This window comes from Homo sapiens, chromosome 1 (genome assembly GCF_000001405.40).
Source record: "Homo sapiens chromosome 1, GRCh38.p14 Primary Assembly".
NCBI lineage: Eukaryota > Metazoa > Chordata > Mammalia > Primates > Hominidae > Homo > Homo sapiens.
Window position 1 is genome coordinate 27770288 of NC_000001.11, and position 14646 is coordinate 27784933.

At 43.9% G+C, this 14646-nt stretch overlaps 1 protein-coding gene across 1 annotated transcript in view, besides 6 other annotated features; it reads left to right on the forward strand.

Annotated features, from left to right (window-relative positions):
* Positions 2652 to 2801: an enhancer, noted in NCBI's record as "active region_569". NCBI's record gives its function as "activates an Ori minimal core promoter by ATAC-STARR-seq in GM12878 lymphoblastoid cells {active_cell/tissue: GM12878}" and the evidence as "EXISTENCE:reporter gene assay evidence [ECO:0000049][PMID:35858748]".
* Positions 2652 to 3769: a biological region, named in NCBI's record as "H3K27ac hESC enhancers GRCh37_chr1:28099566-28100066 and GRCh37_chr1:28100067-28100567".
* Positions 2768 to 3268: an enhancer, noted in NCBI's record as "H3K27ac hESC enhancer chr1:28099566-28100066 (GRCh37/hg19 assembly coordinates)". NCBI's record gives its function as "activates a minimal SCP1, AML or CMV promoter by ChIP-STARR-seq in primed H9 embryonic stem cells {active_cell/tissue: H9 hESC(primed)}" and the evidence as "EXISTENCE:reporter gene assay evidence [ECO:0000049][PMID:30033119]".
* Positions 2922 to 3071: an enhancer, noted in NCBI's record as "active region_570". NCBI's record gives its function as "activates an Ori minimal core promoter by ATAC-STARR-seq in GM12878 lymphoblastoid cells {active_cell/tissue: GM12878}" and the evidence as "EXISTENCE:reporter gene assay evidence [ECO:0000049][PMID:35858748]".
* Positions 2932 to 14646, forward strand: part of STX12 (syntaxin 12) — a 51225-nt gene continuing 39510 nt past the window's right edge. The window contains exon 1 of the mRNA NM_177424.3: positions 2932 to 3138. Within this exon, the coding sequence (NP_803173.1) occupies positions 3021 to 3138 (118 nt within the window). The 5' untranslated portion in view covers positions 2932 to 3020. The remainder of the gene's footprint in view (positions 3139 to 14646) is intronic.
* Positions 3182 to 3391: a silencer, noted in NCBI's record as "silent region_529". NCBI's record gives its function as "represses an Ori minimal core promoter by ATAC-STARR-seq in GM12878 lymphoblastoid cells {active_cell/tissue: GM12878}" and the evidence as "EXISTENCE:reporter gene assay evidence [ECO:0000049][PMID:35858748]".
* Positions 3269 to 3769: an enhancer, noted in NCBI's record as "H3K27ac hESC enhancer chr1:28100067-28100567 (GRCh37/hg19 assembly coordinates)". NCBI's record gives its function as "activates a minimal SCP1, AML or CMV promoter by ChIP-STARR-seq in primed H9 embryonic stem cells {active_cell/tissue: H9 hESC(primed)}" and the evidence as "EXISTENCE:reporter gene assay evidence [ECO:0000049][PMID:30033119]".

Consider the following 14646-nt stretch of genomic DNA (forward strand, 5'->3'; position numbering starts at 1 on the left):
AAAAGTATGTAGAGCTGAGAGACATTTTCTCTAAAGCCATAGATTTTTAGAAAATTTGTTGCTCAAATTATCAGTAAGAATGGAATATATCACTCTTACCTGGAGGATCAGTTACTTTGATGCAGAAGAGCAGCCTCAATTTCTAACGCAGGTGCAGAGCTTCAGATAAGGGGTTTCCAGACACAACATTCCACATTTATCTTGGCATCATGGTTTCCAAGGAAACAGGATCTTGTTAGCTGGGGCCTGATGATAATCCCTTTACACATAGCCTGGTGTGTTTGGGGGCTATCAAAACACTGCTTCTTTAAAAATTTATCTACATTTCTTTCCCCCAAATCCTGGAATAACTCACTGTCTTCCTGTGTTTTGTGACATGCTCCATGATTCTTTTGGTGTGCAGTTTCCCTTGCAGCAGCAAGTTAATAAACTTAACTTTGTCTGACTACAGGTGGTCTTTATCAGATGGGCTTTATCTTGGAGATTACTGATAACGTACACAAAATGTGTTCATACTGCCTGGCACCTAACAGGCATTTAAGCAATGATAAAATTATTATTTTTATTATTCATGTGTTAATTCAATAAATGTTTGTTTGACATCCAGTATTTGCAAGGCACAGATTTACTGCTATGAGAGATGCTCACTGCAACCTCTGCCTCCCTGGCTTAAGCTACACTCCTGCCTCAGCCTCCCGAGTAGCTGGGACTACAGGCTCAGGCCACTATGCCCAGCTAATTTTTGTATTTTTGGTAGAGATAGGGTTTTGCCATTTTGCCCAGGCTGGTCTCGAACTCCTGAGCTCAAGCAATGATCAGCCTGCCTCAGCCTCCCAAAGTGCTGGAATTCCAGTTGTGAGCCACCGCGCCCAGCCTAAAAACCACTTTTATTTTACATGGAGAAAGAAAACAATATTTTTAATTCCTAAAAGAAAAATATCTTTACTGAACTTCACTTTAAATAGTGTCAAATGTAAATGAAAAAAATCATCAGTACTATTATATAGGTAAAAAAGTGCAATTTACATGACTTGCTTAAGATTTGACATAAAACTACAGATTCTAAGAAACGGTAAGGTTTTATAATAATAACCAAAACAGGCTGGGTGCGGTGGCTCACGCCTGTAATCCCAACACTTTGGGAAGCCGAGGCGGGTGGATCACCTGAGGTCAGGAGTTCGAGACCAGCCTGGCCAACATGGTCAAACCCCATCTCTACTAAAAATACAAAAAGTACCCGGGCGTGGTGGTACACGCCTGTAATCCCAGCTACTCGGGAGGCTGAGGCAGGAGAATCGCTTGAACCCAGGAGGCGGAGGTTGCATTGAGCCGAGATTGCGCCATTGCACTCCAGCCTGGGCAACAGAGCAAGATTCTGTCTCAAAAATAAAATAAAATAAAATAACCAAAATAAGAGTCCCCAAATGTCATCCGTCTCTTTCTAGAGACAGGGAAAAAAAATGCTCTCATAAATTCTCCAACGAAAAATAGAGATAGTCACCCTTAAAAAATCCTAAGGCTGGTGGGTGGATTGCTTGAGCCCAGGAGTTTGAGACCAGCCTGGACAACATGGCCAAACCCCAACACTACAAAAAATATAAAAATTAGCTGGGCGTGGTGGCGCACGCCTGTAATCCTAGCTACTCAGAGGTTAGGTGGTAGGACCTCCTGAGCCCAGGAGAAGGAGGATGCAGTGAGCAGAGATCGCGCCACTGCACTCCAACCTGCGTGACAGAGCGGGACCCTGTCTCAAAAAAAATAAAATAAAGAAAAAATCCTAAGGCCATATACAGGCTCATTCACTTTGGGTCTCCTTTCATCCAGGCAAGCAGCTTTCTGTCTTTGCATTTTCCAAAGACTACAAAGCAGGCTGGGGTGGGGTGGGGTGGGGTGTAGAACACAGGAAACGCAGCCAGTTCCCCTTCACTTCTCACTATCTTGATCTCCTCCCAAACCAAAATCCTATGTCTTTCCTTTTAACATAGGCTTACAAAAATGCAGTTTTCTGTGGGAACATTGAGGTCATGCATTCCAAATTACTTAAGGGAACGATTTTTAAATTTTAGGAATCTAGTTCTCCAAGATATCCCGGCTTGGGATATAGATGAACGAGCTATTTGGGAGAGATTTAGACGAGAATGAATTTTAGAGAAGTAGCGAGGTGAGGAGAGAGTCAGCTTAGCGTTTGGGTTTTGCAGTCAAATTTCAGCAAGGCGAACTAACCTCGCTGGTCTTAATTTTCTCATCGGTAAGAGGGAAAATAATAATGCTTACTTTGATGAATTACTTTACTTCAACATTTAAAAAACCGACTCTCCGTTATCTATTCTAATGATAAAAATATAGATAGAGCATCGTCCCCTGCTGTGAAAAATCTTATGAACAAGTGAATTGCGGTGAGGATTCACATAGTATGTGCTCAATAAACATTATTTTATTGTTTAGATTAGAAGAGGGGTGGAGGGAGAAATGAAAGTGGTTTGGAAACCCCAAACACTACCAAAGCCCTGGGGATGGAAGTAGAGAGGAATTTCGGGTTACGATTTGGTTCCGGGTCTGAGTTTCAACGTTGAATTCTCCCATATTTGGGCCTGAATTCTCAGAACAGAATAGGATGTAAGGGCTGAGATCATCTGGTACAGTTTTATGCAAATCGAAAATTCTTGCCTCTTGTCACTGTGCCCTGGCGAGAAACAACACCTCCACCCAAGCTCATCCAATCTCAGCCCCAACTAGGTGACGTCATCTCCCCGCCCTGCATCCCCAAGCCTCGGGGAGTCCTGTCTCTAAGCTACAGTCCCAGCTCCAGTCCCAGCTCCAGTCCCAGCGGCGCCTGCGCACTTTGGACCGGGGCGGGGAGGACGCGTGCGCGCCGCGTGAGGGCGGGGCTAGTGCGCACGCAGCCTTAGCTCCTTCCCCGCCCTTGCTCTTCCCAGTTTCTCCGTCAGCCTGCGGGTCCCGGCTGGCGGCTGCTTCCGGTAGGAGAGCGGTGTAGAGCGAGCAGGTCTCAGCTCCTCGTCATGTCATACGGTCCCTTAGACATGTACCGGAACCCGGGGCCCTCGGGGCCCCAGCTCCGGGACTTCAGCAGCATCATCCAGACGTGCAGCGGCAACATCCAGCGGATCAGCCAAGCCAGTGAGCCGGGGTACCGAGCTGGGGGGCGGGAGCTGTCCCGGGGACAGGCCTGGGTGAGGCTGCCGGGACGCAGGGCCCGGCTGGGGCTACGGCCGAGGCCACACCTGGGGCTGTCTCGGGCTGTCCACCCTGGGGGCGGTGGGCTGCCATCCCCCAATCTGTCAGGCCCGGGTTGCCCGAGGGTCCCCGGCCCCAGCTGAAGCTTGAGCTGCTTCTCTGGAGTTCTGCCCCCACGGTGCTGGGACCAAAACAGCCGACTTGACAGCCCGAGGGTGGGAAGGGGAGTGTGTGTCACCTCGAGAGCTGTGAGTGCGTTGACTTGGCGCAGTGGTCAGCCGAGTTTCTCCTGTCACCCACCTTCCTCCCCACCCACCTCGCTTTCCTCTTAGACCAGTTTGGATGGGGTTGTTTACTGATTTAGCCTTTAGGTTTACATTCTGCTCAGCCCCTGGCTCCTCGGAAATCAGCAACTTTCAATTAAGGGAAGTGGAGAGTGCATGTGTTTGGGTGACTTCATACACAGTTCTTCCTGTAATGAATTCGGAAATCAGACACAATGACTGGTATTTGAAAGGTGGGATGACTTCATTTTAATAAAGAGAATTCACCAACAGCATTTCAATTTACATTATTTTGTCTTTTGTAACAAATAATTGGGGTGTATTTTTGGATTTCAGGCAGATGAGGCTTTTGTTTTCCTTCCCTACTTAGCTGCTCTTGAACAAATCTGGTACACAGGGAAGCTAAGACACTTAGCCACAACCACATAGCAAGTAAGGCATGGTAGAGTTGTTGGTGGAATTCAGAATGCTATTGCTTGTCTTAAAACTCCCTCCTCCCCATTAGGGTCTGAGTGAAACTGTAGCTGAATGAGTCAAATACAGGGTGTTTCTTGTGCTTGAAAATCATCTTGGAGCCTTATAAACAGGAGATCAGCAGCAGCTTTACTTGGAAAGAATGGTGGTCATCATCCTTGTTGTTTATTATTGTTTTGTGAGCTTGGCGTACTCTGTTAATAGGTAGAACTAGTTAGTCCTGAATTACAATTATATTCTATATTTTAAAGAGTGTCACTTTGCTTTCGTTTTTAAACTTTTAAAAATTTTTCTTTTTTGTAGAGATGAAGTCTTGCTATGTTGGCCAGGCTGGTCTCAAACCCCTGGGCACAAGCACTTCTCCCACTTTAGCCTCCCAAAGTGCTGGGATTACAGGCGTGAGCCACTGTGCCTAGCCTAATTTTTTTGATTTAAAATATTTTTAATTTATTTTTTCGAGACAGAGTCTACTTCTGTCACCCAGGCAGAATGCAGTGATCTGAGTGAAGTGGTACAATCCTAGCTCACTATAACCTTGAATTCCTGATCAGCTTGCTGAGTAGCAAGGACTACAAGGATGCATCTACCGTGCCAGGCTAATTTTTAAATTTTTTGTAGGGATGGGGTCTCACTATGTTGCCCAGGCTCACTTTGCTTTTAAATCTAAATGTATATTGTAGAATTTGAGAAGTAGAAAGTTTCTGATCAAAAGGGATTGAGACTCTGGAAGTGAAAGGAAGAATATGTGGCCTGTTAAAATCCAGAAGTAAAAAAAATTAATATGACCACTGGTTAGAAAGTATAGTACTGTTTGTTCCAGTTTCCTTTTGTGAAGGAGCTGTAATACAGGTTAGATCAGAAAATTCTAGTTCAAGGCTGAAATTTTCTTGTTGAAGCTAAATCTAATTTTAATATCTATTTGCGAAATATTCATTCAACATGTATCCATCTATCCATCTTCGTGTGTATTTTATATATATATAAAACCAGAATACTCCCAAAGGTAGATCCGACATACAGTTTTAAATTTAAATTTAAATTTTTATTTTGAGACAGGGTCTCACTCTGTCACCCAGGCTGGTATGCAGTGGCATGATCTCAGCTCACTGCAGCCTCAACCTCCCTGGCTCAAGCAGTCCTCCTGCCTCAGCCCTACAAGTAGCTGGGACTACAGGTGTGCACCACCACGCCCGGCTAATTTTTATATTTTTTGTAGAGATGGAGTTTCACCATGTTGTCCAGTCTGGTCTTGAACTCCTGTGCTCAAGTGATCCACCCACCTTGGCCTCCGAATAGGCCAGGATTACAGGCATGAATCATCATGCCTGGCCTTCAACATATATTTATTTGAGTATGTAGTAAGTATAAGAACTGGCATGGATCTTTCAACAGGGAACCTGCAGAGTTCATAACCAAAATATAAAGTTGAAAGGGATTGGTGCTATAGAAGACATATAAATAACATGCAGGTATTCTGGGAAGAGAGAGATTGTTTTTAATTGAGAAGGCATTATGGCATTTGAGTTATGTCTGGAAAGAGGATGGAAAGATTTGGACCTTCGAAGGTAAAGAGGAGAAGAGCATTCCAGGAGGGAATAAAATGAACAGGCATCATAGTGGGGAAGCATAGAGTATATCTAGAAGAGTAATTTAATTTGGCTAGAGTGGTGGATTCCAGAAAGTAGTGGGAAAAAAGGATTGAAAGGTAAATTGTGGCCCAAACATGAAGGATGTTAAATGCTAAGCTAAGGGGCTTGGATTTAGTTATTTAGGAAAGTGCGAATTGAATTCAAAGGGAGAGACTGGAATCAGAGATACCAGTTAGGGCTGTGAAAATGAAAAGAAAGGAAAGGATAGGAGAGGTTTCCTTGGTGATAGAATTGGTAAGATTTAGCTATTGATTGGGCATTGGGCCTCAGGGGATCATTTAAGTCAACTGTTAGTAATATTAATAGCTAACATTTGAGTACATACTGTGTTCCAGGCAGTATGAAAAGTGCTTTACATACATTATCTTATTTTATAACAACTCTGAAGCACCAGTATCATTTCCATGTTATGTATTAGGAAACAAACTAAGAAAGGTTAAATAGTTGCCCTGCTAACAAATGACAATATCTGAATTTGAAACTAGGTCTCTTATGACCAGCAATTTGTCTTTTTATTACTTTTTATTAATATTACAGTTCTGGGCTGTGCTCAGTGGCTCACACCTGTAATCCCAGCACTTTAGGAGGCCAAAGAGGGAGGATTACTTGAGGCCAGGAGTTTGACACTAGCCTGGACAACATAGTGAGACCCCATCTCTACAAAAAAAAAGTTAAAAATTAGCCAGACATGGTAGCATGTGCCTGTAGTCCTAGCTACTCAGGAGGCTGAGGCTGGAGAATCTCTTGAGCCCAGGAGTTGGAGGCTGCAGTGAGCTGTGATTATGCCACTGTACTGCAGCCTGGGTGGCAGATCAATACTTTGTCTCTAAATAAATAAATTAAAAATAAATAAATCAATAACAGTGCTATAGCAGTTAACACTTCAGGTTTACAAGTATGCAAATAACTTGTTTTTTCACTCTCCAGAGGACACTCTGTGGGGGAAATACCTGAAGCCGTGGTGCTTTCTCTTCTCGTGGTGTGTTCATCTCCTCTGCCAGATTGTTAGCTCCTTTGAGTCAAGGGACATGACTTATTCATCTTTATATTTCCAGTACTTATCTCAGTCCCAAACATATGAAAGATTCATTGATCCACTATGCAACAAATATTCCTGGAGCACCTGCTGTGTGCTGGGGTGAAGCAGAACAAGAGATAAAATCCCTCCCCTGATTGTGTGTATATGTGTGTTTCTGTGTGCGGGGGGAGTATGTATACACACATACGTACATACACATATAAATAATGTCAAGTAATAATAAATGCTATGAAGAAAAAGCAGGGTAAGTGGGTAGAGAGTCAGGGAAGAGGGAGGGTGGGTGCATTATTTTAGTTGATCAAGGAAGGCATCTCTGAGGAGCTGACATTTGAGTGAGTAGACATGTGAATGAAATGAGCAAGAGCTGTGTGAGTAGCTGGGAAAGGCATTCTAGGTAGAGGGCAAGAGCAAGGACTTTGATGTGTTCAAAGAAGAGCAAGGAGGCTAGTTTGGCTGGAGTACCGTTAGAAAAGGGAGGCAGAATAGGAAAAGAGGCCAGAGAGGTAACCAGGGATCACATTATATAGGATCTTGATGCATAATAAATTGTATCAAATTGATTTGAATGAATGAGGCATTTCTACCATTTTGGAACTCTTCCTGCCTCTTTCCCCTTGTACTGTGTAGTACATACCATATCCTATGACCCTAGGCAGTGTGAGTTGAGATTCTTCCAGGCCGGACACGGTGACTCACGCCTGTAATCCCAGCACTTTGGGAGGCTGAGGCAGGCGGATCACAAGGTCAGGAGTTTGAGACCAGCCTGGCCAATATGGTGAAACCCTGTCTTTACTAAAAATACAAAAAAATTAGCCAGGCGTGATGGTGCACGCCTGTAATCCCAGCTACTTGGGAGGCTGAGGCAGGAGAATTGCTTGAATCCGGGAGGCGGAGGTTGCGGTGAGCCGAGATTGCGCCACTGCACTCTGGCCTGGATGACAGAGCGAGACTCAGTCTCAAAAAAAAAAGAAAAAAGAAAGAAATTCTTCCTTTGGAATTGTTTGGTGAGAAATGGGAAATCTGAAATTGATGGGATGACGTTGCATCTACTCAGTTATCAAGCTAGTGCCTATCCCCAAACCTCTCCAAGAGGCCAGCACACCCAAATATACCCTTAGAATATGAGCTCTCAGACATATATATTACCCACACACCCATACAGCCCTGCAAGGACTTGTACCCATTAAAAGTCTGAGAGCATAGTTATTCTTTTTTCTAAACTGTTCAGCCACAGATGTGGGGTTGGAATTGCTGAGCACATCAGCCTGAGATAAGGCAGCTCACTGCGTGGGTTGTTACAGGTACAGCTAAGGTTGACTGCCTGGTACAAGTGGTGATTATCAGTATGTGTTGGGTACAGAAGAAAAATATTTGACTTACTGTGGAACAAAGTGTCTGGGCAAGTATTGCTGAGGCAGATATAGCTGAAAACCTATTAGCCTCAAAGTTAACTCTGAAGGGATTAAAGAACAGCATTTCTGACTGGGCGAGGTGTCTCACGCCTGTAATCCCAGCACTTTGGGAGGCCGAGGCGATCGGATCACCTGAGGTCAGGCATTCGAGACCAGCCTGGCCAACATGGCGAAACCCTGCCTCTACTAAAAATCAAAAAGTAAGCCGGGTGTGATGGCAGGCGACTGTAGTCCTAGCTGCTCGGGAGGCTGAGGTAGGAGAATCGCCTGAACTGGGGAGGTGCAGGTTGCAGTAAACCAAGACCAAGATCGCTCCACTGCACTCCAGCCTGGGCAACAGAGCGAGATTCCATCTCAGGAAAAAAAAAAAAAAAAGAACAGCATTTCTGTTCTTTATGTTGCTAATTGATGTGATCTTGTTTACTAACAAAATAAGAAGAGTGGAGGTCTCACTCTGTCACCCAGGCTGGAATGCAGTGTGCAATCGTAGTCCACTGTAACCTCAAACTCTTGGGCTTTAGCGATCCTCTTACTTGAGTCTCCCAAATAGCTAGGACTACAGGCATATGCCACTGCGCCTGGCAAGTTGTAAAAGTTTTTTAGAGACGGGGGTCTCGCTGTGTTGCCCAGGCTGGTCTTGAATTCCTGACCTCAAACCATCCTCCCACCTCAGTCTCCCAAAGCAAGAAGAGTTGAACATTTAAAATTGATTATTATGAAATCCTTGGGGTTCCACTTTCAAAGTTATTTTCATGTTTGCCCCTTATTTTTTATGTTTCTTTGCTATCCTCTTAAGTATTCATCAGCTCAACATCTGTATTTCAACAGCATATTCATAGTGTCTCTGATTATGGTCTTGCCCCATTCTAGTTTATACTGATGGTGCTATCAGCACTATGTCTAAAGTCCTGTTTTTATTATACTGCTCACTTCCTCAAGAGCCTAAAGTGGCTCTCTGTTGTCTATTGAATCAGATGGTTTTTTTTGTTTTTGTTTTTTTTTGTTTTTTTTTGAGCCAAGTCTCACTCTGTCGCCCAGGCTGGAGTGCCATGGCGCAATCTTGGCTCACTGTAACATCCACCTCCTGGGTTCAAGCAGTTCTCCTGCCTCAGCCTCCCGAGTTGCTGGGATTACAGGACCTGCCACCACGCCCAGCTAATTTTTGTATTTTTATAGAGACAGGGTTTCACCATGTTAGCCAGGCTGGTCTCGAACTCCTGACCTCAGATGATCCACCTGCCTCGGCCTCCGAAAGTGCTGGGATTACAGGCATGAGCCACCGTGCCTGGCCTGAATCAGATCTTAATATTTCACCTTGCTTTCACTCCCTGCGATCTTAACCCAAATTAGCCATATTTTCTACTCTTCCTTACTCTTTGCTAGGAAGGCTATTTTCTTTATGTTTCTCAACTCTATCTTTCAGTTTATATTTTGCTCATTTGGTTCCTCCTTTTTTTTTTTAGAGAAAGAGAGTTTCGCTGTTGTTAACAGCCCAGGCTGCAATGCAGTGGTGCGATCTCGGCTCACCACAACCTCTGCCTCCCAGGTTCAAGCGATCCTCCAGCCTCAGCCTCCCGAGTAGCTGGGATTACAGGCGTGTACCACCACGCCCGGCTAATTTTGTATTTTTAGTAGACACAGGGTTTCTCCATGTTGGTCAGGCTAGTCTTGAACTCCTGACCTCAGGTGATCCGCCCGCCTTGGCCTCCCAAAGTGCTGGGATTACAAGCATGAGTCACTGCGTCCGCCCTTTGGTTCCTCCTTTTTTTAGTATCTTTTCTCTCCCTACCTCATTGGCTATCTAAATTATACAAATCCTCTCAGTTGTGCATAAGTCCTGCTGATAGCAATTAAGTTTTTCTTTGCTTGTTTTTTTTTTTTTTTTTTGAGACGGAGTCTTGCTCTGTTTCCCAGGCTGGAGTGCAGTGGGGCGATCAGGCTCATTGCAACTTCCGCCTCCCAGATTCAAGCAATTCTCCTGCCTCAGCCTCCCCAGTAGCTGGGATTACAGGCGTGCACCACATGCCCGACTAATTTTTGTATTTTTAGTAGAGACAGGGTTTCACCATGTTGGCCAGGCTGGTCTTGAACTCCTGACCTCAGGTGATCTGCCTGCCTTGCCCTCCCAGAGTGCTGGGATTACAGGCGCCCAGCCTTCCTTTGCTTTTGAAAGACAAAGTGAAGTCAGAAAGATCATGGACTCTCCGGGGTCAGCAGATCTGTGACTGAATCCCTCCCCTTCCATGTATTAACCTCGAGCAGGTTATTTTCCCTGCCGTGTGTAACCCCATTTATAAAATGAGTGAAATTATTAAAAGGGGATGTTTGAGGCTGGGCACAGTGGCTCACACCTGTAATCCCAGCACTTGGGGAGGCTGAGGCGAGTGGATCTCTTGAGCTCAGAAATTTGAGACCAGCCTGGGCAACTTGGCGAAACCCTGGCTCTACCAAAAATACAAAAATTAGCTGGGTGTGGTGGCACACACCTGTAGTCCCAGCTACTTGGGAGGCTGAGATGGGCAAATCGCTGATCGCTTGAGCCTGGGAAGCAGAGGTAGCAGTGAGCCGAGATCACGTCACTGCACTCCAGTCTGGGTGACAGAGTGAGACCCTGTCTCAAAAAAAAAAAGGGGGGATGTTTGAAAGTGTCTGGTATACTGCCTGCCTGGCACATAGCAGGCGTTCAATAAATGGTGACATTATTATTATTTTTATTATTTTGAGATGGAGTCTTGCTCTGTCACTCAGGCTGGAGTACAGTGGCGCAATCTCAGCTCACTGCAACCTCTGCCTCCCGGGGTTAAGCAATTCTCATGCCTCAGCCTCCTGAGTAGCTGGGATTACAGGCTCATGCCACCACGCCCAGCTAATTTTTGTATTTTTAGTAGAGACAGGGTTTCACCATGTTGACCAAGCTGGTCTCGAACTCCTGACGTCAGGCGATTTGCCCACTGCAGCCTCCCAAAGTGCTGGGATTATAGGTGTGAGCCACCACGACCAGCCCCAGTGGTGACATTATTAATACTTGTTGAATCCCTTGCCCTGCAATAGTTTAATAGTTAGGTAGGCAGGCTCAGGAGTCATATTGCCAGGATTTGAATCCTAGATCTGCTTCTTACTAGCTGTGTAAACACATTGCTTTACCTATTTCTCAGTTTCCTTATTGTTAAAATGGAGTTAATAATACCTATTTCATAGGGTTGTGATGATTAAATGAGATAATTCATCTACAGTCCCTGCTACATAGTAAGTGCTTAAGAAATGTTAGCTCTCATTTTGGTGTATTTCCTTTGAATTTATAATACAAGCAATTTTCCCTCACAGTTTAGCACGCACTTATATTATATATTCTTTAATTAATTCAAGCTTTTTGATATTGTCACCCCAAGCAGAGAGATCACTGTTAGTTTTGTGGAGACCATGCATTATACATTTGTCTTTAGTCACAGTGCCTGGAACAACAATGCATATATAGTTGGCATTCAATATGTACTTAATTGATTTTATTACTGCTAAGTACATTTTTCTTGGTCTTGAGTTTGATAATAATAGCTATCTTTAATTGAGTGCTTTTATGTGCCATTGTTCTAAATTTAGCTTCGTATCATCTCATTTCATCCTCACAACAACCATATGAAGATTCTCTTATTCTCATTTTTAAGGCAAAGAAACTAAGGCATAGAGGAGTGGAGCCTTTTACTCAAGATCACTTTGCTTGGAAGTAGCGGGACCACGACAAGCATAGGCATAAGCAGTGGTTTTTTGTTTTTTGTTGTTTTGAGAAAGGGTCTTGCTCTGTCACCCAGGATGTGCCAGTAGTACAGTGGTACCGTCATAGGTCACTGCAACCTTGAACTCAAGGGATCCCCCCACCTCCACCTTCCGAGTAGCTAGGACTACAGGCACGCACCACCACGTCCAAGTAATTTTTTAATTTTTTGTAGAGACGGGCTCACTTTGTTGCCCAGGCTGGTGTCAAACTCCTGGGTTCAAGTGATCCTCCCACCTTGGCCTCCCAAAGTGCTGGGGTTACAAACTTGAACCACCATGCCTGGCCATATAGGCGGTCTTAATTCAGAGCTATGCTCTTAACCATTGCATATTCTGAAACTGGTATGGTTAAAGGAAAATTATACCTTTGATATTTAGTATCCATTTTCACTTTAGTCTAGAACTTTACTGTTATGGTACAGTGGCTATTTTTTAAAGTCAGGTTGATGGACACGGTGACTCACACCTGTAATTCCAGCACTTTGGGAGGGCAGGGTGGGCAGATCGCCTCAGGTCAGGAGTTCGAGACCAGCCTCGCTAACATGGTGAAACCCTGTTTACTAAAAATATACAAATTAGCCCGGCATGGTGGTGGGCACCTGTAATCCCAGCTACTTGGGAAGCTGAGACAGGAGAATCACTTGAACCCAGGAGGTGGAGGTTGCAGTGAGCTGAGACCGTGCCATTGCACTCCAACCTGGGCAAAGAGAGCAAAGCTCTGTCTCAAAAAAATGAAACATTTTTTAAAAAAGGTAATTTTCATTGTAGTGATATAAAAACAGAATGTAAACCTAATTTTCAGAGTAAAACACTGAGATGACTTCATTTTCATAATCACCACATAGGCTATCATTTTCTCATTTGGTGTAAATAATGTTTTTTTGTTGTTGAATTTGTTTAAAATACTGACTTAGAGCATTCGATCCTGTCAAATGAAGAGAAATCTTTTTCCCACCTCTGATGATAGTTACTTTCAATATAATTTGACTTTGATTTGACTTTGCTTTGGATGAAGGTTCATTTGGAGATTCAGATTCTGCCGATATCAGCTTAAAGTACAAAAAGAATTTTCAGTTTAGAGTAGTTCCTAGTGTGGATGTTAGCTGTAATGTATAACAAATTGATTTGCTTCATACTCTTTTAAAAGTTTTAGCCAGGATATGCTTTTTTAAAATGAGAGGTCAGCGATAGGAGAAATTGAGTCCTAGTTGTTTGTTTTTTGTTTTTGTTTTTGTTTTTTTGAGATGGAGTCGCGCTCTGTTGCCGAGGCTGGAGTGCAGTGGCACGATCTCAGCTTACTGCAACCTCCGCTCCCGGGTTCAAGCAATTCTTCTGCCTCAGCCTTCTGAGTAGCTGAGACTATAGGCATGTGCCATCATGCCTGGCTAATTTTTGTATTTTTAGTAGAGATGGGGTTTCTCCATGTTGGCCAGCCTTGTCTCAAAACTCCTGACCTCAGGTGATCCACCCACCTTGGCCTACCATAGTGCTGGGATTACAGGTGTGAGCCACCACGCCCAGCTGAGTCCTAGTTTTAAAAAGAACAAAATTGCTTACACAGAACTGAAGGACTTGTCTTTACCTTTGGCCTAGTCATCTGGTTTCTAGGATTATGTAACATTTCATAGGAAATACCCAATTATTTTCCTTCAAAAAGTTGTAGCACATCAGTCTAACATAAAACCTTCATTTAGTAGAATGCTTGGAAAAGGAGTTTTCTCATTAACCAAGTTAGCCAGAAGATTCAACTCATCCTGGTAAAAATATTTCCAAAAAGCATCACTTGGCCAAGCGTGGTGGCTCATGCCTATAATCCCAGCACTTTGGGAGGCTGAGGCAGGCAGATCATCTGAGGTCGGGAGTTTGAGACCAGGCTGACCAACATGGAGAAACCCCATCTCTACTAAAAATAGAAAAAATTAGCCGGGCATGGTGGCACATGCCTATAATCTCAGCTACTCGGGAGGCTGAGGCAGGAGAATCGCTTGAACCTGGGAGGCAGAGGTTGCGGTGAGCTGAGATCACACCATTGCACTCCAGCCTGGGCAACAAGAGCGAAACTCTGTCTCAAAAAAAAAAAAGTGTCACTTTACTTTTTAAATTTTTATTCATTTGTCTATTTATTTTGAGACAGAGTCTTGCTCTGTTGCTTAGGCTGGAGTGCAGTGGCATGATCATAGCTCACTGCAGCCTCAAACTTCTGGGCTTGAGCGATCCTCTTCTCTCAGCCTCTTGAGTAGCCAGGACTACAAGCATGCGCCACCATGCTTGGCTAATTTTTAAATTTTTTGTAGAGGCAGTTTTCACTATGTTGCCCAGGCTGGTCTTGAACCCCTGACCTCAAGTGATCTGCCCACCTTGGCCTCCCAAATTGTTGGGATTGTAGGTGTGAGCCACTGTGCCTGGCCTCACTTTTCTTTTTGATATTTTAAGTATGCTCAAGGGCAAATAAATGTATCTGTAAACACGTTATTCCTTTGTGTGCTTTAGGTTTACTGAAAGATACATCTCTTAGATGTAAAATACATGAGTCATTGAGTTACTAGTTTTGAACAAATCCCTGATGTTGGTGATTATAGAGGGCAATATACAAAAAGTCCTGCTTCTCTGGGTTCCAGTAAACTACGACACTGTTGTCCTTATGATTTGAGTTTTAGGGTATCTGATACCTGAGTCTTGCTGGAAACTTTAAAGAAAATATCTTAATATTTAGGAATTTAGAAAGTGTTAAGGCTTAGATTAATTCTGGTGCTTAGCTAGCAAATGACCCTATAATATTCCCAACACCCCCACTTCCTCAACCCCTCCCTATCTTTCCACCC